General features: G+C 38.5%; 2 protein-coding genes across 23 annotated transcripts in view, besides 1 other annotated feature; one reads left to right on the forward strand and one right to left on the reverse strand.

The window, feature by feature from the left end:
- TLR2 (toll like receptor 2) lies at positions 64-26421 on the forward strand. Of its 16 annotated transcripts, none has more exons than XM_017008573.2 (4): positions 64-144; positions 3686-3831; positions 18011-18294; positions 18676-22044. In XM_017008573.2, the coding sequence occupies exon 4, from the start codon at positions 18692-18694 to the stop codon at positions 21044-21046; it is 2355 nt and encodes a 784-aa protein (XP_016864062.1). In that variant the 5' UTR covers positions 64-144; positions 3686-3831; positions 18011-18294; positions 18676-18691; the 3' UTR covers positions 21047-22044. The 16 variants fall into 16 exon arrangements, with proteins under 16 accessions (XP_016864062.1, XP_047272068.1, XP_016864064.1 ...); XM_047416112.1 differs by lacking the exon at positions 18011-18294 and adding an exon at positions 3877-4129 and having other exon boundaries at positions 3686-3772; XM_017008575.2 differs by lacking the exon at positions 18011-18294 and adding an exon at positions 3877-4129 and having other exon boundaries at positions 3701-3772.
- Positions 242-331: a silencer, noted in NCBI's record as "silent region_15767". NCBI's record gives its function as "represses an Ori minimal core promoter by ATAC-STARR-seq in GM12878 lymphoblastoid cells {active_cell/tissue: GM12878}" and the evidence as "EXISTENCE:reporter gene assay evidence [ECO:0000049][PMID:35858748]".
- The window catches only part of RNF175 (ring finger protein 175), a 49865-nt gene continuing 48782 nt past the window's right edge, over positions 25944-27026 (reverse strand). For all 7 annotated transcript variants that reach the window (XM_017008047.2, XM_005262939.4, XM_005262938.4 and 4 more), the window contains one exon: positions 25944-26273. In XM_017008047.2, the coding sequence (XP_016863536.1) occupies positions 26153-26273 (121 nt within the window). In that variant the 3' untranslated portion in view covers positions 25944-26152. The remainder of the gene's footprint in view (positions 26274-27026) is intronic.

Consider the following 27026-nt stretch of genomic DNA (forward strand, 5'->3'; position numbering starts at 1 on the left):
CCCAGAAGGAGGGGGCGCCCGGCCGCGCGGACTTTCCCTTTTGCTTACTTCCTAGTCCCGGGCAGGCCGGCTCGGAGGCAGCGAGAAAGCGCAGCCAGGCGGCTGCTCGGCGTTCTCTCAGGTGACTGCTCGGAGTTCTCCCAGGTACGTCGTGCGCTCCCCACTCGTGTGGTCTCTCTGCACCCCTTCCTGGGGTCGGGTCGGGCAGGGGCGGAGGGGAGCCGCAGCCCGGTCACGGGCTCTGGGGAACCCGGGCTCCCGTTCGGCTGCACCTGGGCCCCTAGCTCCTGTCCGGGCGGGGATAGCGGGAAGCGCACCAGGCCCCCGGGACGCCGGTGCTTCTTTGCACGGCCCAGCGCGGGAATGTGGACACCAGCGAAGCCGGCTCAGGTCGGCCCTCGGGAGAAGCAGGGGCTACACGGAAAGGGAGCCCGAGGGTCCTGCAGAGCCCGAGGTCGGGACCCCGCGCGTGCAGTGCCAATGGGCTGCGGCTGGGCTGAGCGCCCTTCCAACCTTGCAGGCCCCGGGGGGGTTGCCGCGGAGAGCTTCCGCTGGGGCTCCGGGCCTCTGGCCGCCACCTCCCTCGGGAGGCCGAGGGGGGCGGTGGCCCCGGCCCGGCCCTCCCGCTTCCCTCACGGCCTGGCCCTCCCGCTTCCCTGATTCCCGGTAGGGTCGCTCTCCCCGCCTCCTGGCCCCTCTTGGCTCGGATGACAAAGATTGGGTAAAGGCTTTCAACGAGCTAGCGTCTGGCAGGGGGTGTGTCCTCGCTCACTGGTTACTGCTAGGACGGAGCTTGGATTTTGGTCACCGTGGCTCAGAGGTGGGAAAGGTTCCGTGCTCTGGGTCTGTCCAGGACCCTGGCTCCCTAACCCAAGTCTGACCTCTGCTCCCTGGCAGGCTTCGCCCCACCTCTGCGTTCCTTCATTCTTAGGATGTGTGAGTTAGGTCTCTGATTAGAAAACAACTTACAGCGTTTAAGCAAAGTCGAGTCCTTCAAGTAAGAATGCTTTGAAGTGCCCTTTACAACTTCTTCAACTTCTATAAATATGAACTTGTGTTTAGAACTTAAATGCAAGCCAGGAAAGTCTTTTTCCTGTTTGAAAGAGAGAGAAAGAGAGAGAAAGAGGTGATTGGAAGTGGTGGGTGGGGGCGGAGAAAGAGAAGGAGAGTAATCTGGGTGTAGACAACTCAAAGTTTGCTGAGATGACTTTAATCTTTTGACTCTGTTATTAAGATTTTTACCAAAGAGCAACTGTAGCTATGGTGGCCTGACTTGAAGGGACAGACCAAACAAACAACAAAACACAAAACAAAACAAACAAACAACAAAAGCAAGAGCAGAAACTATTGGAAAATGATTTATTCACCAATATTTTAAAGGTTCTTCCTGTTCTAAGCAAGGAACATCTTTAAGTTCTTTATAATGTACCCATTTTACATTTACAAAAACTGCCAGAAGTTGACAGCATGTTTTGGGGGTTTCTAAGCTATCAGTTAATTTTTTGGGGTACAGTTTTATTGATAAACTAACAGAGTAGAAAAAATCTAATGGAATACCCCCAAATTTAAAAGAGGGCAAGAAAAGAGAGACAATAGAACATAAAACAAATGGGACAAGAATAAAGTACATAGTTGTCACAGTCCCTTGGGTGCTGCTGTAACAAAATACCTGAGACTGGGTAATTTACAAAGAACAGAAATTTATCCATTCATGGTTCTGGAGTCTGGGAAGTCCAAGATTGAAGGGCTGCATCTGGTGAGGGTCATCTGGCTACATTATAACATGATGGAAAGCATCACATGGTGAGAGAGAGCAAGAGAGGACAGAACTTACTTTTATAACAAACTCATTCTCACAATAAACTGCTCCCTTGGTGATAACATTAATCCATTTATGAGGGTACAGCCTTCATAACCTAATCACCTCTTAAAAGGTTCCACCTCTCAGCTCGCAGTGAGCCGAGATCATGCCACTGCACTCCAGCCTGGGTGACAGAGCGAGACTCTGTCTCAAAACAAACAAACAAACAAAAATTCCACCTCTCAACACTGTTGCATTGAAGATGAAATTTCCAATACATGAGCTTTGGGGCACACATTCAAACCATAGCAATAGTTCAATTACTTTAAAGCCCAAAATGTCAGTAATTATATTAAATGCAATTTAATACATCAGTAACTAAATGAGATAGACTAAATTTTATGATAATCAGACTAATATTATCAGACTAGACTTCAAAACAACCCAACAATCATATGCTGTTTACAAGAGACACATTTATGGATACTAAAAGGTATAAAGTGAACAGATGCAACCATTTATCAAAAGAAAGCTGTTGTGGCAATATTACTATTAGACAAAATAGAATTAGGAAAAAAATCATAACTGTAGATAAACGTTTCACTAAGTTAAAGGTTTCACTGAGAAGAAATAAAAATTTTGAATTTATAAGTACTTATAACAACATTAAGAAACTAGAAAATAGAAAAAGAATAGAGCCAAATTGACTGAACTAGAAAAATAGAAAATTCATAGAAAAATCCACAATCATAGTGGGAGATTTTATCATACATCTCTCAGTAACTGATAGAAAAACCAGACAAAAATCAATAAGGATAAAGAAAATGCGAACACAATGTAGTTCACATAAGGAACCTATACTACTTCCAACAGCAGCTGAAATCACAGAGCATACTTAAAATCTGACCATATACTGGCTCATAGAGTAAATTGCAATACATTTTAAAGAATTTAAATCATACAGAATATGTCTTCTGACCATAATGCAATTAAAGTAGAAAAGAACAGAAAAACTTATAGAAAATTCTCATATATTTGGAAATTAGTAAATTTCTAAATAACCCATGGGTCAAAAAATAATCAGAATGAAAATCAGAAAATATTTTTAATGACTTATGAAAAAAATTACATATAAAAACTTGTCAGATGCACCTAAACTGTTGCTTAAAGGAAACTTACAACCTTAAGTGCATATATTAGAAATGAAGAGTGACGAAAAATGAATGAGCAAGCAAATACCTTAAAAACTGGAAAAGGAATAGTAAAATAAATCCAGAGAAATCAGAACAGGGGAAATAATAATATAAGAATAGAAATTAATGTGCTAGAAAATAGGGGATCTATCAAGTCAGAAGTTGATTTTTTGAAAATGCTAATAAAAATGATGAACCTCTGGCAAGACAATAAAAGCTGGTACAAATAACTCATCTAAGGAATAAAATTGAGGACCTCTCTTTTGTTAAATGACATAAGCAGGAGGCCATTATCCTGAGACTGTCTCTACACTTTGAGTTCTTACATAATAAACTGCAACCTAATTTAGTATACTACATAAACAAACTGAAACCTAACTTAGGAGCTTTTTTTTTGTAATTAATAGCTAAATTTCCACCAAATCATAAATAGCCAAGCTTTAGCCAATCACAGGCAGCCAACTGATCAGACTATGCCCAAACAAGGTAAATGCCTATTACACCATACCCAAATAAGGCAGACTCCTAGCTGAAGCCAATCAGGTGATTACTATGCTCTTGTGTTTGGCCTATAAAAGCTCACTGCTCACACTGTTGGATGCTCTCTGAAACTTTTGTGAATCTGAGTGCTGCCTGATTCATGAATCATTCTTTGCTAAAATAAACTCTGTCAAATTTAATTTGTCTGAAGTTTCTCTTTTAACAGTGTTTGGTGTTGCAAGCAGGATCCAAAGGAGACCTATAGTGACTCCCAGGAGCTCTTAGTGACCAAGTGAAGGTACCTGTGGGGCTCATTGTGCCCATTGCTCTTTCACTGCTTTCAACTGGTAGTTGTGGGTAAGTTCCTGCTCAGACTTGAGCACTATACATTTGCATTTTCAGCTCTCTGACTTTATTTGAGCAATTCTTTGATGGATTGGCTCCAGAATTGGATTGGATTCAGTGAAGAAACTGAAACTGGACTGGTGCTCTAGGAGGCCTCAAGTAGATAAGGTTACTAGAAGACAGGGAATCCTGGGCTTATCTGGATTTAAGGAGTCTACAACTCCATCTGCAACTCCAGCCGATTTCATTTATAAGAATTATGGACCAAGAACCTGTGCTTTTCTAGAGAAATGTGTGAGCCTTACTAAAGGTAACTTAGAATTACAATGGACTGCTGAGACCAGCTCGGTCGTGGAGACCCTAACCCAGCAGCGCTAGAGGAATCAAAGACACACACACAGAAATGTAGAGTGTGGAGTGGGAAATCAGGGGACTCACAGCCTTCAGAGCTGAGAGCCCCTAACAGAGATTTACCCACATATTTACTGACAGCAAGCCAGTGATAAGCATTATCGCTATAGATTATAGATTAACTAAAAGTATTCCTTACAGGAAACAAAGGGATGGGCCGAAACAAAGGGATAGGCTCTGGCTAGATGTCTGCAGCAGGAACACGTCCTTAAGGCACAGATTGCTCATGCTATTGTTGTGGCTTAGGAACACGTTAAGCGGTTTTCTGCCCTGGGTGGGCCAGGTGTTCCTTGCCCTCATTCCAGTAAACCCACAACCTTCAGCGTGGGCGTCATGGCTGTCACAAACATGTCACAGTGCTGCAGAGATTTTGTTTATGGCCAAATCTGGGGCTAGTTTATGGCCAGGTTTGGGAGCCTGTTCCCACATGTCCCCCTTTTTTGTTTTGCAAAGCAATAAAAGCAAAGGCAGCTTTGTCACAGTGAGCTACTTCTTGCAGGAGTCGGGATTCGCATATGCATACTATACAAAGACAAACAACACAGATTAAAAGCACAACCATCATTGAAATCACAGAGCTTCCAAGTGTCTTTATCTATTTTAATGGGTTAATCACTGCTAATCTGTCTGCAGCTCCTTCAAGCACTCCAGTTCCTGGCATTAAGGTCTGGTGTGCCTGGAATGCTTTAAATATTTGTTCTTTTAATATTGCAATATGGAAAGACAAGTTTGTAGAGTGTCTTCTAGGTGCTTTTTTATTCTTTCCTGAATTTGGTCTTATTTAAGAGCCATTAATAGTTTCCACAAATCCTTATGTTTAGCTCCTACAGCGGGCCATATCATTTGAGGGTGAGGTGCCACTATACCATCATGTTTCCAGATAATAGGAACTCTTGCCATATTTCTTGCTATTTCTACCATCTGACCATTTTGTTTAGACCAGCTAAACATAGTGTGGCCATGGCACGCAGACTGAGAGGTGCAATTTAAGCTAAACATCCCCTTAGGGGACCAATCAATAATGATTCCATAGGAATCACTGCGCAGCACCTCTGCCTATTCTGCAATGCAATCTTCCCAAACAAGTATGTTCATTATTTCTGGCCAGGTCCAATTCTGTTTACAAATAGGTTTTTGAGGGCAATATGCCTCAATTATAGAAACAGATTTATTATGGTAAATACTGAGATCAGAAAGCATGTGTAACTGTGTCATAGAATGATTACATCCAGGCATTATTGCCAGCCAAGATTGATAAATATGCCCAATAAGTATAATTGTTCTCTGTGTTAGCCCTTGTTGAAGGAATACTAATGGCAATGGTGATCACTGCTATCATAGCTATCATTAAATTACTCATTGTGACTGGTTGTCCCACTTTCCTCAGGTTTTCTTCCACCCTCTATGGCAGTTTCTTGATCTGTCCCCAGGTAGATGGCTGTGTTTGATGGTTGTTGCTCGTGATAGTTTGGGTCCTCCTCAGCATCAGTCTCGACATGGCTGCAACCAGAGGGTCCTCGGGATCCTCCCAGAATCTCTTCCTTGGCATCTGGCTCATGATAAGGTTTCAGGTGTCTTGATGGTATCCAAATCAGCTATTGATTCTGGCCTGGAGAAACACAAGCATAACCTCTACCCCAAGTTATTATTTTACCTATTTCCCAACTTTTTGTTGTCAGATCTCTGCACCAAGCCAGTTGTTCTGCTTCTGTTTTTGCAGCTGGTTTCTGTAGATGCTCTTCAGCTGCTGATAGCATCTGGCCTTTAGGCAGGCTCAAAAAATTTAAAGTCATTAATGCTAGATTCAGTTGTATATGGGGTGTCCTGTAATCCCTGTTTCCCCTTTTTGCTTTTGCAACTGCTGTTTCAGGGAGAGATTCATTCTTTCTACAATGGTTTGTCCTTGAGAATTATATGGGATGCCAGTAATGTGTTTAATATTCCATATAGAGAAAAATGTAGCTAGAGCTTGGCTAGTATAGCCTGGGGCATTATCTGTTTTAACAGAAGTTGGAATTCCTATCACCACAAAACACTGCAAAAGGTGATGCTTAACACATGCAGTCTCCTGATTGGCATGTAGCCCAGACAAAGTGAGAAAAGGTGTCCACACATACATGTACATAAGCTAGTCTCCCAAACGAGGGAACGTGTGACATCCATTTGCTAAAGATAATTAGGTTCCAATCCTCGAGGATTAACTCCTCCTGTTAAAGATGAGGAATGCACCATTTGGCAAGTTGGGCATCACTGGATAATAGCTTTAGCTTCTTTCCAGGTACTGTTATATCTGCATTTGAGACCAGAGGCATTAACATGGGTTAAATTGTGAAAGTGTCTAGCATTAGATATTGCAGTAGCAACTAGGCGATCAGCCATTTGATTCCCTTCAGTTAAAGGTCCTGGAAGAGGTGTATGAGCCCTAATGTGAGTGATGTAAAAAGGGTGCATTCTACTCCTAAATGCTGTTTGCAATTGGGTAAATAAAGTCATCAGTTGTTCATCTGTATGAAGTCATAACTGAGCATTTTCAATTAATTGTATGGAATGAACCACATAGGAAGAATCAGAAATCACATTAATAGGCATATCAAAAGCAGTCAATACCTCAATTACAGCTAAAGCTCCACTTTTTGAGCTGAAGTATAGGGCGTGTGAAAAACTTTACCTTTTGATCCAGAATAAGAGGCTTTACCATTACAAGACCCATCTGTAAAAACATTCTCAGCACCTTCAGTTGGTTTAAATTTAGTTATTTTGGGGAGAATCCAATTAGTTAATTTCAAAAATTGAAATAATTTCATTTTAGGAAAATGATTATCAAGAATACCCACAAAGTCAGCTAAATGGGTTTGCCAAGTAAGACTATTTATAGAAGCTTGCTGTATTTGTGCCTTTGTGAGAGGGACAATAATTTTTCCAGGATCATATCCATGTAATTTAACAATCCGAATTCTCCCATTTCTTATCATCGTAGCCATTTGATCCAAATAAGGAGTTAGAGTCTGTGAATTAGTATGTGGAAGAAAAAGCCACTGTACAAAGTCTTGCTCTTATACAATAACACCAGTAAGTGAATGCTGAGTTGGAAAAATTAGCAAATCTAGGGTCTTTTTTGGATCTATTCTATTTATTTGAGATTTATGGATTTGCTTTTTGATTAGCTGCAGCTCTGCCTCAGCTTCTTTTGTTAATTGCTGAGGGCTAATGAGACTAGGATCTCCTCTAAGGATAGAAAATAGATTACTCAGGGCATAGGTGGGAATGCCTAGAGCAGGTCATATCCGATTAATGTCCCCTAGTAATTTTTGAAAGTCATTTAATGTTTTCAATTGATCCCTACGTATAGTTACTTTCTGTGGCACAATGGTAGTGTCATTTACTAAGGTCCCCAAGTAGGAGTAAGGAGTAGTAGTCTGAATTTTGTCAGGAGCTATATAATTAAACTGGCATGAGAAATCGAGTTTTGCAAGTGATCATAACATTGGAGTAATATTTCTTGAGTGGGGGCAGCACAAAGTATATTATCCATATAATGAATAATGTAACACTGTGAAAATTTTTTACGAGTAGGTTCAATTGCTTGCCCTTCATAAGTCTGGCAAATTTTTGAACTGTTTCACATGCCTTGTAGCAACACTTTCCAATACAAATGCTTTAGTATGCTGCAGGTTTTTTACTGCAGGAATTGTAAATGCAAACAGTTCACAGCCTTGCTCAGCTAAGGGGATAGTAAAGAAACAGTCTTTTAAATTTATGACTATTAAAGGCCAATTTTTTGGAATCATAGCAGAAGAAGGCAGTCCCGGCTGCAATGTCCCCATAGGTTGTATAACTGAATTAATGGCTCTTAAGTCAGTTAACATTCTGCATTTACCTGATTTTTTCTTAATTACAAAAACTGGAGAATTCCAAGGGGAAAATGTTGAGCTATGTGTCCTTTTTCTAATTGTTCAGCAACTAAGTCCTCTAAAGCCTCCAGTTTCTCTTTACTCAGCAGCCATTGTGCTATCCAAATTGGCTTATCTGTTAACCATTTTAAAGGTATATAGGTTCTGGAGGCTTAACAATGGCCACCATCAAAAATGATATCCTAAACCTTGGTGGGAACTTTGTCTTTCCGCTTGAAGCATTTCCTTCAAAGCTTGCAAATTTTTTCCTAGTCCCATACCAGGGACATACCCCATTTCATGCATCATATGTTGACTTTGAGGGCTGTATAATTATTCTGGAATTAGAACTTGTGATCCCCATTGTTGTAATAAATCTCTTCCCTATAAATTTATAGGTACAGAAGTTATAATTTTTTGTATAGTCCCAGGTTGTCCATTGGGCCCTTCACAATGCAAAATATAACTACTTTGATATACTTTAAGGGCTTTACCAACTCCAACTATGTTAAATTGAGCAGGTTGAATTGACCATGCAGATGGCCAGTGCTGTACAGAAATGATTGAAATGTCCGCTCCTGTATCTACCAAACTTTTAAATTTCTTTCCCTGAATAGTTATTTCACCAGTAGGATGTTTATCAGTAATTTGATTCACCCAATAAGCTGCTTTGCCTTGTTTATTTGTGCTTCCAAATCTTCCTGTTCATTTAATTTCACTTTTCCCCATTTCCACATATGGCATAATCAGGAGCTGTGCTATATGCTCTCCTGGCTCTGCTTTCCAGGGAACAGAAGTAGATATAACAATTTGAATTTCCCCTTTGTAATCTGAATCAATGACTCCTGTTTGTACTTGCACGCCTTTTAAATTTAAACTAGACCTACCTAGAAGTAATCCTACCATCCCCGCTGGCATCATCTGACTGGAGACAGCAACCTTCTTTAACAGTCCCATTACAAAAGGAGAACCTGTTCCATATGGATTAATAGCTTGTTTAAATTCTTTGAGTAATTTAAAAGGAAAAGGCTCAAATGTAGCTATAATATTTCCCTGTTGATCTACGGGGTATATTCTAACAGGGAACTGCTAAGCCTCTATATCACCCTCTCTTCTAACTTGCTGAATTCCTGGCTGAATAGAACTGAGAGTGGTCGCTCGAGGTGCTGCTCAGTCACTGGGGCGACTACTTTTTGCCCAGTGTCCTCTGGAAAAGAAAGATCTGGAGGATCAGGCTACTCTTTTGCTTCGAAATAATGAGGGGGTGCAGAAGGGTAGGGACAAACCTCTCCCTCCTTTGCCACTTTAGCTTTAGCTGGCAAACAAACCTGCTCTGTCACCTCTTCTGTTACTTCATTATACTTTCCTTCCTCCTCATCTTTAGTGTGAAAAGGTTCCAAGGTGGAATGAGCTAGAGCCCACACTTGCCCATTGTTACCCTGATGCTTCCGAGCTCCCCTTCTTACTCACCATGGGGATTGCTTAAGAGTACTCGGGTATCCTCCAGCTTTGTTCCACGTTTTCCAACCATTGCTCCAGCGAGCCTTCATCCTGGGTTTGAGTCCCCACGTTGGGCGCCACTTGCCGAGACCAGCTCGGTCGTGGAGACCCTAACCCAGCAGTGCTAGAGGAATTAAAGACACACACACAGAAACATAGAGTGTGGAGTGGGAAATCAGGGGATTCACAGCCTTCAGAGCTGAGAGCCCTGAACAGAGATTTACCCACGTATTTATTGACAGCAAGCCGGTGATAAGCATTATTTCTGTAGATTATAGATTAACTAAAAGTATTCCTTACAGGAAACAAAGGGATGGGCCAAAACAAAGCGATGGGCTCTGGCTAGATATCTGCAGCAGGAACACGTCCTTAAGGCACAGATCGCTCATGCTATTGTTTGTGGCTTAGGAATGCCTTAAGTGGTTTTCCATCTTGGGTGGACCAGGTGTTCCTTGCCCTCATTCCAGTAAACCCACAACCTTCAGTGTGGGCGTCATGGCCATCACAAACATGTCACAGTGCTGCAGAGATTTTGTTTATGGCAAGATCTGGGGCCAGTTTATGGCCAGATTTGAGGGCCTGTTCCCAACAGTGGACAAAGAAGAAAAGCTGCTTAAGGCAAACAGGCACATATTTTTTAAAGCTACAATAGCTAGACAAACTAAGAGAATCCTGTGTATGTTTTACTTTTGTATTTTTATTTTTAATATTTGTGGATACATAGTAGATGTATATATTTATGGGGCACTTGAGATATTTTGATACAGGCATACAATGGATAATAATAACATCACGGTAAAAGGGGTATCCATTACCTCAAGCATTTATCCTTTCTTTGTGTTATAAACAATCCAATTAAACCTTTTATCATAAAATGTACAATAATGTTGACTGTGGTCACCCTGTTTTGCTATCAAAGAATAAATCTTATTCATTTTATCTAAGTATATTTGTGTACCCATTAACCATCCCAGTCCCCCTGCTCCTCCAACTACACTTCCCAGCCTCTGTTAACCATCATTCTACTCTCTTATCTCCATGAGTTCAATTGTTTTAATTTGTAGCTCCCACAAATAAGCGAGAACATGGGATGTTTGTCTTTCTGTGCCTTATTTCACTTAACATAATATCCTCCAGTTCCATCCATGTTGTTATATGACAGAATTTCATTCTTTCTTATGGCTGAATAGTACCCCATTGTATATATATACCACATTTTCTTTATCCATTCATGTGTAGGTGGACACTTGGATTGCTTCTAGATCTTGGCTACTGTGAATAGTGCAGCACTAAACATGGGCGTGCAGATATCTCCTTGATATATTGATTTCCTTTATTTTGGGTATATACCTAGCAGTGGGATTGCTGGATTGTGTGGTAGCTCTACTGTTAGTCTTTTGAGGAACCTCCAAATTGTTCTCCATAGTGGTTGTACTAATTTACATTCCCAACCAACAACAGTGTACAGGGTTCTGTTTTCTCCACATCCTTGCAGCATTTTTATTGCCTGTCTTTTGGATAAAAGCCATTTTAACTGGGGTGAAATGATATCTCATTGTAGTTTTGATTAGCATTTCTCTGATGATCATTGATGTTGAGCACCTTTTTATATATCTGTTTGCCATTCATGTGCCTTCTTTTGAGAAATGTCTATTTAGATCTTTTGCCCATTTAAAAAATTGGATTATTAGATTTTTTTCCTATTGAGTTATTTGATCTCCTTATATATTCTGGTTATTAATCCCCTTTCAAATGGATAGTTTGTGAATATTTTCTCCCATTCTGTGTATTGCCTCTGCACTTTGTTGATTATTTAATTTGCTATGCAGAAACTTTTTAACTTGATGTGATCCCTTTTGCTCATTTTTGCTTTGGTTGCCTATGCTTGTGGGGTATGACTTAAGAAATCTTTGCCCAGACCAATGTCATGGAGAGTTTTCTTAATGTTTTCTTTTAATAGTTTCATAGTTTGATGTCTTAGATTTAAGTCTTTAATCTATTTTGTTTTTATTTTTGTATATGGCAAGATATAGGGGTCTAGTTTCTTCCGCATATGGATATCTACTTTTCCCAGTACCATTTGTTGAAGAGACTGTCCTTTCTGCAATGTATGTTCTTGACACTTTTATTGAAAATGAATTCACTGTAGATGTGTGGATTTGTTTCTGGGTTCTCTATTCTGTTCTGTTGTTCTGTGTGTCTGTTTTTATGCCAGTACCATTCTGTTTTAGTTACTATAGCTCTGTAGTATAATTTTAAGTCAGATAATGTGATTCCTCCAGTTTTGTTCTTTTTGCTCAGAATAGCTCTGGCTATTCTGGGTCTTTTGTGGTTTCATGTAAATTTTAGGATTATATTTTATTAACATATTTCTGTGAAGAATGTCATTGGTATTTTGATAGGAACTGCATTAAATCTATAGATTGCTTTGGGTAGTAAGGATATTTTAACAATATTGATTTTTCCAATCCATGAACATGGAATATCTTTCCATTTTTTGGTGTCCTCTTTAATTTCTTGCATCAGTGTTTATAGTGTTTCTTTCATCAGTGTTTATAGTTTTCATTGTAGAGATCTTTTACTCCTTTGATTAAGTTTATTCCTGGGTATTTTATTTGTAGCTGTTGTAGACGAGATTACTATCTTGATTTCTTTTTCAGATTGTTCACTGTTGGCATATACAAATGCTACTGATTTTTGTATGTTGATTTTGTATACTACAATTTCACTGAATTTGCTTATTACAGAGAGACTAAAGATAGTTAGGTCCATTACCAAATGTGTTTTCTGTCACATTGAAAAATTATACCATGAGAAGGCACATGCTTCTAGTAATTACAGTTCATAGATATGTCAATGTACAGAATGCTGGTGTGACAGTTCACAATTGTTTGCTTTATAGTTTTCACTGGAAATTAAATTACTAAGGGTAAAGTAATCCCAGCACTGTGGGAAGCTGAGGCAGGATGATTGCTTAATGCCAGGAGTTTGAGACCAGCTGGGGCAATGTAGCATGAGCCCATCTACAAAAAAAAAAAGGAATTCTAATTAATATGTGGTACTAGAATTACCAGAAATAATAAGGGAAACAACTCGGAAAAGAAGGTAAGATGTGTTTTGGGTAAGAACAGCTATAAAGTATGAGGGGATGTTTTGTTTTGTTAAGGAAAAAATAAAATAATATTTGTCCTAAAGTAGAATGCCTGGTTGTTAAGACAATGAGAAAGAGAAAGAGTATAGAAGAAAAACTGAATGGATATAAGAAAGTTGTAGAAGGTTGTGGGATAGGAATCCTGGAAAGGGAATTTTATATGTGATCAAACTAAGATTTGAAGAAAATTCTAAGTTTTTTTTTAAAAAAATTGAGCATGAATATCAAAAACATACTGACACAGAACTAGAAATTTGTCCTCTATGTTAAAACAACAAGGTTTTCTTGGAGTATTGGTCTGCTCTTAATAAGAAATTGAAAGACTTTTCTTTACCTGCTAAGTAATTGGCCTAGGAAATGAAGATTCTGTGTTTTATTGAGATAATTTATTGTGCTTCATGTTGTCTTTATTAGATCTTTGACTGCCTCAGAGACCTGAGTTCACCTTATTAAAAGAGAAAGAGTTTCTACAATTATGTGGCTTTCTTTATTTGCCTTTGAAGTCTTTTACCAATCACTCTAGTTAAATGAATAAATATTGTTTCATAGGGACCTGTGATCCTATTTTAATCAGATATTTTAAACCTTTTGATATTTTTGACTTCTCAAAATCAAATTCTAAATTAAAACCTTTTGACGTTGAACAAACTTTGGAAGCTTCTAGATGGGCTTCTGGAATATCTCAAAAGAAATTGTTTTCTCTCCTGATAAAAAAGAGAGATATTAAACTAATTGGGCTTATTTGATATGTTATATTGCATGGGAAGAATTGTTAAATTATAAGTGATGCTGAACTTTCTTTAAGTCATATTGTATGGGTATGTTATTAATATGTGCTTCAGAAATTATATGAAATTCTTAGAAACCAGATAGTCGTGGTATAATACTATCAGCCAAAATTCTAATTATCGTGAAATATTATGTGTTGCAGAAGTAATACAATTTCCTTATCAATTGCATTATTGTGAACTCTCATCATATCTTTAACCAAGTCCATTTTAAGCTTTGTCATCTACAAAGAGTCACTTGTTTTACTCTGGTACTTTCCGGAACACTGTGAAAAACAATTATATAAAGGGTGTGGACCTATAAGACAAACAACCAAACAAAAATCGTAAAGTGTTCTTTTAAAAGATTCGTGGAAAGGACTCTGATAAGTACAGGTTTCTGATAACTTTAAGATCATACTACTGGACTGGGTAAGAATTTCCAGAACTCTAGCAAAGAAGTGGATTGGTTCATAAAACTGCCAACCCAACATGAAGCAGAATAAGAATTAATTGAATACCAGGGAAATGCTTTGGCAGATTTTCATGCTAAGTCAGCCAGTACTGAAATTGTTAAGATATGCAATTTGAAAGAACACTATAATATTCATCTGAATCAAATTATCTATGATAACCTATTTAAATGAACAGCATCATGCACCTGAATTGGAGAAACAAAACTGATATTTAAAATGATATAAATTTAGTGTTAAATGTGGCCTCATGGATCAGACAGCTATCTGGTCCTTTCTGAGTCCATATAGCTGCCATTATTAAAAGTTCTGCACTCTATGACTCATCACAGAATAGATAACGTGAAATTATGAAAAAATATTGGTGTTATGACTGTTCTAAAATTGCTAAAATGGCTTATAATCAATGTTTGGTTTGTCAAATCCACAATTTTTATAAGATAATAAAAACCTCAGTTGGTACATTTCCACCATCCACTGGACTATTTGAACATTTACAGATGGATTGCATTCAGTTGCCTCATTGGGAATCTGCAGGAAACTTAAGTAAATGCTGGATATGTCATGTTGAACCAAATACTAATATGCTTTTAAAGATCTTCTAATTCACCCTATAGCAGATTTCACTGATATTCCAAGTGTGACTACCTGTTCAAATTGCACATCTGGTCTTTCTATAGGGTTAGGCTTTTTGAGTCACATATTCAGATTTCATGTTTAAAGCTAACAGTAGACAAAACATATAGGAGAGGCTTTACAGTTAAATTATTCCAGAAACTGAATAATAAAACCAAAAGGAGAGATAATTAGACAGTTTGTAGACGAATTCATAACCCTAATTCTCTAATTGTTGGTAGCCTCCATTGATGATAATTAATAGTGGAGCCTTAGATAAATACTACTATTGCTTCCCCGTTGATGACCCCTGTAGCACACAGTGTCCCACAGGGAACTGTCTCTTGTGCCCCTCTAGCATATATTTTTATCTATGAAGGATTTAACTATCAATCATAGGCACAGGCAACTCCATGTCCCAGTCAGTAGGAAATAAGAAGTCAGTGTGGATTAGGGATTCTAACAGTACCACTGTCACTCCATAACCAACTGAAAATTTGACATTGTTCTATACCTCTTAATTTGCACTATGGTATAAAAAGGAACTTTCTAGCAGGTACGAATCCCTCTAAATGGGCATCTTTTGTTCAAATGCTCCTTCCCTGGCTTGGAATAAATGTAAATGAGGTTATGATTAGAAATCCCCTTCAAACATTAGCTACTACAGCTCACTCTACTGCAAAGGCTATATAGTTGCCCAGTGAAGTTCTCTAAATTCTCTTGCTAAAGTTTCTTTAAATAACAGGATTGCCTTGAACTATCTGTTGGTTTGTAGTGGGGCAGGGGGTGTGATAGGGGACACTGTGTATAATAGCTAATACATCCTACTGCACTTGCATAAAGGAATCTGTTATAAAGAAAATGAAATAAAGGTATAAAAGTTGGCAAGAAGAAAACCATCATTATGTCTTGAGGATGATTGGGGATACAGAAAATGAGAAGAATCCACAAACTATTAGAATTACTAAGTTAATTTAGCAAGGTTGCTCAATGCATGGTCAGTATACAAAATTTAATTGAATTTCTACATATATGTATATGCCATATTGTGTTAGATTGTTTTGCATTGCTATAAGGGAATACCTGAAGCTGGGTAATTTATAAAGAAAAGAGGCTTATTTGGCTCATGGTTCTGCAGGCTGTACAAGCATGGCACTAGCATCTGTTTGACCTTAGGAAGCCTTTACTCATGGTGGAAGAAGGGGGAGCAGGCATGTCATATAGTGAGAGAGGGAGTGAGAGGGAGGGAGCAAGAGTGAAGGGGGAGGTCCCAGACTCTTTTTAAATAACCTGAAATCCTGTGAACAGAGTGAAAACTAACTTATTACCATGAAGAGCACACCAAGCCATTCATGAGGGGTATACCTTCATGACCCAAACGCTTTCCACCAGGTCCTACCTTCAACACTGGGGATCACATTTCAACATGAGATTTGGAGAGGACAAACATCCAAATCATATCACATATATAAATATGTAAAACTATTTTAAATGTTTTTAAAGTATCGAATAGAAATAAATCTCACAAAATATGCTTAAGAACTTTAAGCAAAAACCATAAAATACTATTGTGATAAGTTAAAGAAGACCTAAATAAATGGAGAGATCTGTCATGCTCATGGATTGGAAGATTCAATACTGTAATGATATGAATAGTTCCCAAATTGTTCTATAGATTCAAAACATTGCCAGTTAAAATCTCAGTGGACTTTGTTTTTTTGAAACTGACAAGCTGATTCTGCCATTTATAATAATATTCAAAGGGGCAAGAATAACCAAGACACATTTGAAGAAGAACAAGGAGGAAGAAGAACGTATTTGAAGAAGAATAAGGAACTCTATTAAGTGTATATCTCCTATATATTGAGATACACATTTGAAATACATCTATCACCTAGATATTGAGATATATTATACATTTAATATAGTGTGTTGCTGGTATAGGGATAGACAAATGAACATTGGATCAGAATAGCACTGAAACAAGATCTACCCCTATATGGGCATGTCCCTATTAACAAAAAAATATTGTTGATTATTTCCTCAAGATGATCTGTAAAAAACAAGTTAATTGAACATCCATATGGGAAAAAAGTGAATCCTTCTGCTACCTCAAATATCAACCCCAGGTAGATTATAGATCTAAAAGTGAAAGGCAAAGCAATAAAGATTTTAGAAAATAACAAAGAGAATATCTTTATGAAAATACAGGAAATATTTTAAAAATAGGCTAGAAAACTCACTATTAAAATATATAAAATATAAGAACATCTGTTCATCAAAAGTACTATAGTTTGAATAGCAGTGTCTCCTCCAAAATTCATATTGAAACTTAATCCCCATTGTAACAGTACTAATCCTAAAACTAAGTATTAAGAGGTGTGACCTGTGGGAAGTGACTAAGTCATGAGGGGTCTTTCCTCAGGTATGGGATTAGCATCCTTATAAAAGGCCTTGAGATGGAATGTAGTGCCCCCTTGCCCTCTTGCGTTCTCCCATGTGAGGACACAGCAACAAGGCACCATCTTGGAAGGAGAGAGAAGCCCTCACCAGACAACAGTGCACATGCCTTGATCTTAGACTTCCCAGCCTCCAGAGCTATAATAAATACATTTCTGTTCTTTATAAATTACTTGGTCTCTGGTATTTTGTTACAGAAGCACTAATGGACTAAGACAAAAAGATTCCATTATGAAAGTGAAAAGGCAACCGCAGAGTGGCAGAAGCTTTTGGAGATGATGAATATGTTTACTTCCTGGATTGCGGTGATGATACCATGAGTGTATACATATGTGTGTATACATAATGTATACAAATTGTGTTCATTGATTATGTACAGTTTCTTTGTATACCAATTATACCTTAATAAAGCTAAGGAAAAAAAAAAGAAAATCCAGAATAAATATGCATGGTATGACCCATTTATTTAAAAAAAAAAAGAGGGAATGCGAAGCAGTGGTTTTGGTGCGAACACAAAAATTCTGGCTTCAACAGCATTTAAATTCCCAAACCAAGCATGTTTGTGTTTTAATTCTTTGTGGCCATAAATTGTACAGCTCAGGCCTTTATAGTCTCTCAGATTCTGTGAATGTGGGGAATTAGTTTTACTCATAAAAAGTTTTGTTCTTGGGGATAAATTTTTTAAAAAAATTTTTGTATAGTTAGCACACTGAGAAAATACAGACAAAGGCATACAGATGCAAGAAATGAGGTAGCTGAATAGACCAAAGAATGATATAGGGCCCAGAAGGTAGGCAAAGAGAAAGTTGTTGGGTTTATGGTTACAAGTAAACTAGCAGTTGTGGTGCAGATAGTTTTATTTCCCCCACATTAATCTGAACAGCCCATCCAGACTTAAACACTGCTTTTTGCATTTACTTCTAGGCAGGAAGACAGGGTTCTGATGGTGTGAGTCTCCTTCAACTCAGCAAACCACCTTGGTCTGCCTCGAGTTTCCAACACCCCTCCTGCCTGCTAGTGATAGGTGTGAGGCAGGTTGATGAACATGGAACTTTTTTCTTTTGGTCCCAAAGCATGCTACTCCTGGAGTTTCATTCAGTGAATGAGAACTATAGTTTGGTTCTGTGAGATCTCTATGAATCAAGGCGGCCACTGAAGCGGAGAAAAGAAATGCTTAAATGTTAAGAAAGTTTGAAGTGCAGAAAAAGGTGATTGTAAATCCATATGGTTAAGCTTAGCCCATTTCTTAAAAGGCTTGATTGCTCATTCCTCCATTCATTGATTTACTCACTCTTCCAATCCATGTTATTGAGTCTTGCTCTGTAATTCCGGATGGTTGTGCTTTTAAGTACTGCATAGTGGTTGTATGTCTGTGTTAGCATTGCTGAATGTATCAGGGAATTCATTTTTTTATCCCCATTCATTCGTTCCATTCATCTGTTTCTCTCTCTCTCTCTCTTTGTGTGTGTGTGTGTGTGTGTGTGTGTGTGTGTGTGTGTGTGTGTTATGCCTAGAAAACATTTCTCAAGAATTAGAATTACGATATGCTGTCAAACACAATGACTTATTTGAACCTCTTTTATTTGTAGGTTGAAGCACTGGACAATGCCACATACTTTGTGGATGGTGTGGGTCTTGGGGGTCATCATCAGCCTCTCCAAGGAAGAATCCTCCAATCAGGCTTCTCTGTCTTGTGACCGCAATGGTATCTGCAAGGGCAGCTCAGGATCTTTAAACTCCATTCCCTCAGGGCTCACAGAAGCTGTAAAAAGCCTTGACCTGTCCAACAACAGGATCACCTACATTAGCAACAGTGACCTACAGAGGTGTGTGAACCTCCAGGCTCTGGTGCTGACATCCAATGGAATTAACACAATAGAGGAAGATTCTTTTTCTTCCCTGGGCAGTCTTGAACATTTAGACTTATCCTATAATTACTTATCTAATTTATCGTCTTCCTGGTTCAAGCCCCTTTCTTCTTTAACATTCTTAAACTTACTGGGAAATCCTTACAAAACCCTAGGGGAAACATCTCTTTTTTCTCATCTCACAAAATTGCAAATCCTGAGAGTGGGAAATATGGACACCTTCACTAAGATTCAAAGAAAAGATTTTGCTGGACTTACCTTCCTTGAGGAACTTGAGATTGATGCTTCAGATCTACAGAGCTATGAGCCAAAAAGTTTGAAGTCAATTCAGAATGTAAGTCATCTGATCCTTCATATGAAGCAGCATATTTTACTGCTGGAGATTTTTGTAGATGTTACAAGTTCCGTGGAATGTTTGGAACTGCGAGATACTGATTTGGACACTTTCCATTTTTCAGAACTATCCACTGGTGAAACAAATTCATTGATTAAAAAGTTTACATTTAGAAATGTGAAAATCACCGATGAAAGTTTGTTTCAGGTTATGAAACTTTTGAATCAGATTTCTGGATTGTTAGAATTAGAGTTTGATGACTGTACCCTTAATGGAGTTGGTAATTTTAGAGCATCTGATAATGACAGAGTTATAGATCCAGGTAAAGTGGAAACGTTAACAATCCGGAGGCTGCATATTCCAAGGTTTTACTTATTTTATGATCTGAGCACTTTATATTCACTTACAGAAAGAGTTAAAAGAATCACAGTAGAAAACAGTAAAGTTTTTCTGGTTCCTTGTTTACTTTCACAACATTTAAAATCATTAGAATACTTGGATCTCAGTGAAAATTTGATGGTTGAAGAATACTTGAAAAATTCAGCCTGTGAGGATGCCTGGCCCTCTCTACAAACTTTAATTTTAAGGCAAAATCATTTGGCATCATTGGAAAAAACCGGAGAGACTTTGCTCACTCTGAAAAACTTGACTAACATTGATATCAGTAAGAATAGTTTTCATTCTATGCCTGAAACTTGTCAGTGGCCAGAAAAGATGAAATATTTGAACTTATCCAGCACACGAATACACAGTGTAACAGGCTGCATTCCCAAGACACTGGAAATTTTAGATGTTAGCAACAACAATCTCAATTTATTTTCTTTGAATTTGCCGCAACTCAAAGAACTTTATATTTCCAGAAATAAGTTGATGACTCTACCAGATGCCTCCCTCTTACCCATGTTACTAGTATTGAAAATCAGTAGGAATGCAATAACTACGTTTTCTAAGGAGCAACTTGACTCATTTCACACACTGAAGACTTTGGAAGCTGGTGGCAATAACTTCATTTGCTCCTGTGAATTCCTCTCCTTCACTCAGGAGCAGCAAGCACTGGCCAAAGTCTTGATTGATTGGCCAGCAAATTACCTGTGTGACTCTCCATCCCATGTGCGTGGCCAGCAGGTTCAGGATGTCCGCCTCTCGGTGTCGGAATGTCACAGGACAGCACTGGTGTCTGGCATGTGCTGTGCTCTGTTCCTGCTGATCCTGCTCACGGGGGTCCTGTGCCACCGTTTCCATGGCCTGTGGTATATGAAAATGATGTGGGCCTGGCTCCAGGCCAAAAGGAAGCCCAGGAAAGCTCCCAGCAGGAACATCTGCTATGATGCATTTGTTTCTTACAGTGAGCGGGATGCCTACTGGGTGGAGAACCTTATGGTCCAGGAGCTGGAGAACTTCAATCCCCCCTTCAAGTTGTGTCTTCATAAGCGGGACTTCATTCCTGGCAAGTGGATCATTGACAATATCATTGACTCCATTGAAAAGAGCCACAAAACTGTCTTTGTGCTTTCTGAAAACTTTGTGAAGAGTGAGTGGTGCAAGTATGAACTGGACTTCTCCCATTTCCGTCTTTTTGATGAGAACAATGATGCTGCCATTCTCATTCTTCTGGAGCCCATTGAGAAAAAAGCCATTCCCCAGCGCTTCTGCAAGCTGCGGAAGATAATGAACACCAAGACCTACCTGGAGTGGCCCATGGACGAGGCTCAGCGGGAAGGATTTTGGGTAAATCTGAGAGCTGCGATAAAGTCCTAGGTTCCCATATTTAAGACCAGTCTTTGTCTAGTTGGGATCTTTATGTCACTAGTTATAGTTAAGTTCATTCAGACATAATTATATAAAAACTACGTGGATGTACCGTCATTTGAGGACTTGCTTACTAAAACTACAAAACTTCAAATTTTGTCTGGGGTGCTGTTTTATAAACATATGCCAGATTTAAAAATTGGTTTTTGGTTTTTCTTTTTTCTATGAGATAACCATGATCATAAGTCTATTACTGATATCTGAATATAGTCCCTTGGTATCCAAGGGAATTGGTTGCAGGATCCTCGTGGATATCAAAATTCATAGATGATCAAGTCCCTTATAAGAGTGGCATAGTATTTGCATATAACCTGTGTACATTCTCCTGTATACTTTAAATCATCTCTAGATTACTTATGATACCCAATACAATGTAAATACTATGTAAATAGTTGTACTGTCTTTTTATTTATATTATTATTGTTATTTTTTATTTTCAAAATTTTTAAAACATACTTTTGATCCACAGTTGGTTGACTTCATGGATGCAGAACCCATGGATATAGAGGGCCAACTGTAATCTGTAGCAACTGGCTTAGTTCATTAGGAAACAGCACAAATGAACTTAAGATTCTCAATGACTGTGTCATTCTTTCTTCCTGCTAAGAGACTCCTCTGTGGCCACAAAAGGCATTCTCTGTCCTACCTAGCTGTCACTTCTCTGTGCAGCTGATCTCAAGAGCAACAAGGCAAAGTATTTGGGGCACTCCCCAAAACTTGTTGCTATTCCTAGAAAAAAGTGCTGTGTATTTCCTATTAAACTTTACAGGATGAGAAATACTAGAGGGTGTATTTTCATGTGATCTGGATCTGTCTTTCTGGCTATTAGATAGGTTTCTCCAGCCATAGTTACTTGAGAGAGTGAGTACACAGTGCAAGGTACAGTAAATTATGTATTTCTGTAATTTAACAAAATAAATACTCAGTTTAGGAGAATTTGAAAGACACTTCCCACATCCGGACTCTGGTCTTCCTCAGCCTCTAACTACCTTTTGAGTTCTAGTTATTGTCCAATCACTCTGACTCTCAGTTCCTGTTTTTTAGCCTATATCTCCTGCATCTTGTTGCTTTTTCCTTCTTCGAAAAGTCTTGTTTTTAATTCTAAAAAAGCCTGCCCTTTTTCCCCTTCTGAATATTTTAAAAAGTACATGTGAGCTAAATAGATTTTTAAGCAAATATATACCTAGAGTTTCCTCATAATGACTCAAAAATAGTTTGATACACAGTAATTTAAAGGTAGATACTACTACCATATGTTAATTTTGCAATCTAGGTATAATAATACCACACATTAAATTTTGATGCAACTTTCTTTGGTAAGCACTATTTGCTGATTCTATGTAACTTTCTTAAGCTGGGAACCATGTGAAAGGAAGTGAGCCTTTGACCCCTGCTCAATTCTCAACCAGAACTGGGTGTATGTGGTTAATTGGGCACTAGAGTCAGAAAGACCTGGGTTAGTAGATGTGTAATCTTTGGCAAGTCAGTTGACATGACCCAAAAAGTTTTTCTGTCTTTAAAATAGGGATGATGATCTCTATATCCTAAGATACTGAGAGTATGAAATGTAGGAATGTAAGTAAACCATGAGCCTAAGCTCCTTGATTCCCATTTTCTCTGGAGGGGTGTTGAGGGCAAGAGTACCACGCCTAAGAGAATGGGCACTATGGGTTCGTGTGTGGGGTGAGGGTGATGTCTGTAGTAGATGTTAGCTATTATTATTATTTTCCAAGAAGATATTTCATTCCCTTATATATTATGGCTTGTAAGTGGATATTTTTCTGTTATGGATACTAGCAGGGATATAAGGGATCCTGCTGTTTGCAGAAAAATACCACAAAGAAATATATGCTCATTAACTGCAGAACAAGCTTGTCCTTGGGGAACTCGCATAGGGCTGCTGCTGTTTCACACGACCTCCCAGAAGAGTGTTATGGAGGAAACGGTAGCCAGCCTTAAAAAAAATCAGGCTTGGTGTAATCCCAGCACTTTGGGAGGCTAAGGCAGGAGGATTGCTTGAGTCCAGGAGTTGGAGACCAGCCTGGGAAACATGGCAAAACCCTGTCTCTACCAAAAAATACAAAATATTAGCAGGGCATGGTGGCATGTGCCTCTGGTCCTAGCTACTCGGGATGCTGAGGTGGGAGGATCACCTGAGCCCGGGAGGTCCAGGCTGCAGTGAGCTGTGATTGCACCACTGCACTCCAGCCTGGGTGACAGAGGAAGACACTGTCTCAAAAAAACAAAATGAAACAAAACAAACGAAAAACAAGTTTAGAGGAAGGAAACTTGAGATTCCACAGACACCAAATACAGTAATGGACTTTCTGCTTTACTTCTCTGTTTCCATGTTAATTATGAGAACAAGGTAGATTTAACATTGACTCGATCTATGTTTAATTTCAAGAACTTAAAATAGCAACTGAAATAGCTTCATAGATAATTGATAGATTTAAAATAATATTTAAAAAATAATCTTTAGGACGGACGTGGTGGCTTATGCCTGTAATCCCAGCACTTTGGGAGGCTGAGGTGGGAGGATCACCTGAGGTGTTGTGGTGCCTATTCACATTAAAGGTGGATCTTCCTTTCCTAGTCCACTGACTCAAATGTTAATCTCCTCTGGCAACACCCTCACATACACACCAGAAACTATACTTTACCAGCTATCCAGGCATCTTTCAATCCAATCAAGTTGACACCTAGTATTAGCCATAATACTCTCCAATCTTTTTTCAGTGTACATATACACACTACTTTACAAAATTGGGATTAGATTGTAAATACTTAAATTTTATAAAGAAAATGGCATCTTCATTTTTTTCTGAGGCTGTTTAGTGATTATCTGACATTCCTGAACTCTGAGGGTCATTGTGAATCCCATTCAGATAAATACTGGCTTATTTGCCGAGAGTTCTAAATGGTTCTGAAAGCTGCCATTGTGGCTATACATAAAAGATAAGTGGGAACTAAATTAGAGATCAGTTTAAGGGTTCTTTTTTTTGTTTAACAGGAGAAAAACTAATTTTTTGTTAGTGCTTTATCCAAATGTGAAGTCTTTTATTTGTCAATAGACTATAAGCTCAAGAATCTTGTTTTATCTCCCTACCCCTTGAACATGCCTACTATATAGTAAGTATTGAATTATTGGGATGTTTTCAGAGTAGAGAAATAAGCAATTAAAAATTCTATAATCTGGATGCTGAATCAATCATAATGAGAGAGGAGAAAATGAAAAATCAGTTCGGTAGACAGCTAAGGCTAGTCTTCAGAGAAGCAGTCTGCCTGGAAAATCACAGCTACAGGCAAAAATAGAGCAGCCTGGGGAAAACTCAGACTGTACCTGCACAGATAAGCAGGCAAGGTCCAGCACAGAAGCCTTTTGTTCTTTGTGTGATTAGCAGGCTCCCAGGAAAATGTTTTCTCCCCTTTTCAGATATGAACACGGGGGGATCCATGGGAGATTGCACTGGAAACAGAGGGGGTTTACCTAAAAGAAACCCACAATTACTCAAACAAGAAAAAACTATGCTTTGTGCTTACCTAGAGACATCTCACAGCTGTATAGGTAGGTGGAGTTGTGCAGACAGGTTTTCAAATAAGAGAAGTTACTCAAACAGCTACAGAGATGAGAGGAGTTTCTTATAAAAGCTTTTGCATTCAGCTGTAAAATGGCACCCCACTTGGGCTCTCCTCTCCACTGTGGAGAGCTTTCTTCTTTCACTTACTAAACTTTTGCTCCAACCTCACCCTTTGCATTCATGCTCCTTAATTTTCTCAGTCATGACACAATAAGTTCAAATAACACCTTAGACAATGAGACAATGGACCCTGACCTATTTCAATAATACTGAAGCATTGGGCAGTTTGAAAGAGGAAAGTTCTCAACAGTAAGAAATTGTAGTGTGAGTTATCTTAATGATGGACCTTTGAATAGCATTAAGTATAGTGCCAATATCTGAACAAGGAAAATAATCATTGTATTTCCTTTCTACTTCATACAATTGTAATGGCTTCAAGTATTGCAGAGTAGATGTCTGGTGTTAAATGTATACAGTGTTGACTATTTTAAAAATGACCAGTAATTCAAAACAAATTAATTTTGAGAGTCCAACATATCATTCATGGGTTAATTCTTTCTGACTGGTCTTCTCTATTCAGTTAATTTTGTTCCCTTCTGCCAGATTAATTTACTCTTTCAGCAAATATTTTTTGAGTGCCTCTTATGTGCTAGGCAGTGCTCAAAGTGCAGGGGATATGGTAGGGAACAAAACATAAAATTCCTTGTCTTCATGGAGGAGAAGACAATAAATTTATGATAGGATTTCGGGTATTGAGAAGTACTATGAAGAAAATAAAAGCAGAGTGCCACAATGGAATGACTGTGCACGTGTATGTGTGCACGCGCACGCAGAGTGGAACAAAAGAAAAGTGATTCTTCTTGCTTTAGTACAGCTGTTGCATGGGTTTGAGCACTTTTGGCAGCTCCAGGAAACCCAAAGTACCTGTGGCCCATTGAGAAGGTGTGGCACCTGCTGCCAGAGGCTTTGGGAGTAACCCACTTTCTACAGAAGAGCTCTGTGGTGCAGAAGCTGCCACATGGTAACAAGCACATGGAGCAGAAGACAAGCACAATGTCCTTGACCATAGATTACTTAACGACTCCACCTACTTTAAAGATGTTGAACTGATGAGAAAGTATTAGCTATGGCTAAATGTTGTGTGTGAGAAGTACTTTGCAAACCTCTGAAACACTTTACAGATATTGTTATCAGTCAAACTGGAAGTAGAATGTCCACAGTGCAGTGTAACAAATGTGACATGTGCATGAGTTAAGAAACAGCTGTAATGGGAAAGATGAAAAAACATGCTTTATTTGTTTATTCCATTGTTCAGCTTCTCTTTAAATTCTTTCCACATGGACAAATTGCTTGACAACAAAGTTTACTTAGTTTTCTAAACACTTGGGATCATCTCTAAAATTAAAAAAATTAATATTAAATGTTGGACCAAGGATTTCAACCATGCAGTATGTTGCTTCTGGGGTCTGCTGTCCTATTCCAGCCCTAGTGAATAGATAATGCCTTGAACTATTCCTATCACCACAGGTTGCCAGGCCACCAAATAACGAAGCCAATCCAGGATTTGTCCATACAGAAAATGTGTGCGCTCCCAGCTAAATCTCAGTTAAGGAGGTTGTTCTATATACAGCCAAGTAGCAGAAATATTCATAAATGTCATTTGCAAATATAATAAACAATGTAATGAATGGGTATTTCCTTTCTTGTTAATTCTATGTGCTCAATTAAAAGCCCCTTATGTGAGTTTTATAGCATTATGGTTGTCATTGTTACTTACACCACACCCAATTCCTGAAAATAAATTGAAGTTCTTTACAATAAAATCCCAAACTAGAAAACAAGAATCAAAGGCAAGGGTATATGCTAAAAGAAGGAAGAAGAGGGGAATGACTATATTGGAAAACCAAGGATAGTGGAAACTGCTCTAAATGAGCAAAAACAGCTCTGGGCTTTCCTGTAGTCATACATTAGAATGAACCCATTGTATATTACAAAGAATAACACTGGTTCATCAGATAAGAGAGACCTTTTTCTGCTGTCTTTGATAAACTGTGCTAGGGAGCTTAATGAATGCATAGTGTCTCCGACAACAATTTTACAAACAAAATGACAGCTTTTTCACATGTAGTTTTTTCTTATATTGAGTCTCAATAAAAGAGTAGTATATGTTTTATTCAACAGTTTATTTTCTCAAGACTACATAAAGAAATGAATGACCCTTTGTTAAAGTATCACTTGAGGTGACATTTATGATCATATTATCACCAATTTTATAACAAAGATTTATGCATTGAGGTTTTATAGGTTAATAACCAAAAACTGTTCTGGACTTGGTATCCTCATTTTAG

Source organism: Homo sapiens, chromosome 4 (genome assembly GCF_000001405.40).
Source record: "Homo sapiens chromosome 4, GRCh38.p14 Primary Assembly".
NCBI lineage: Eukaryota > Metazoa > Chordata > Mammalia > Primates > Hominidae > Homo > Homo sapiens.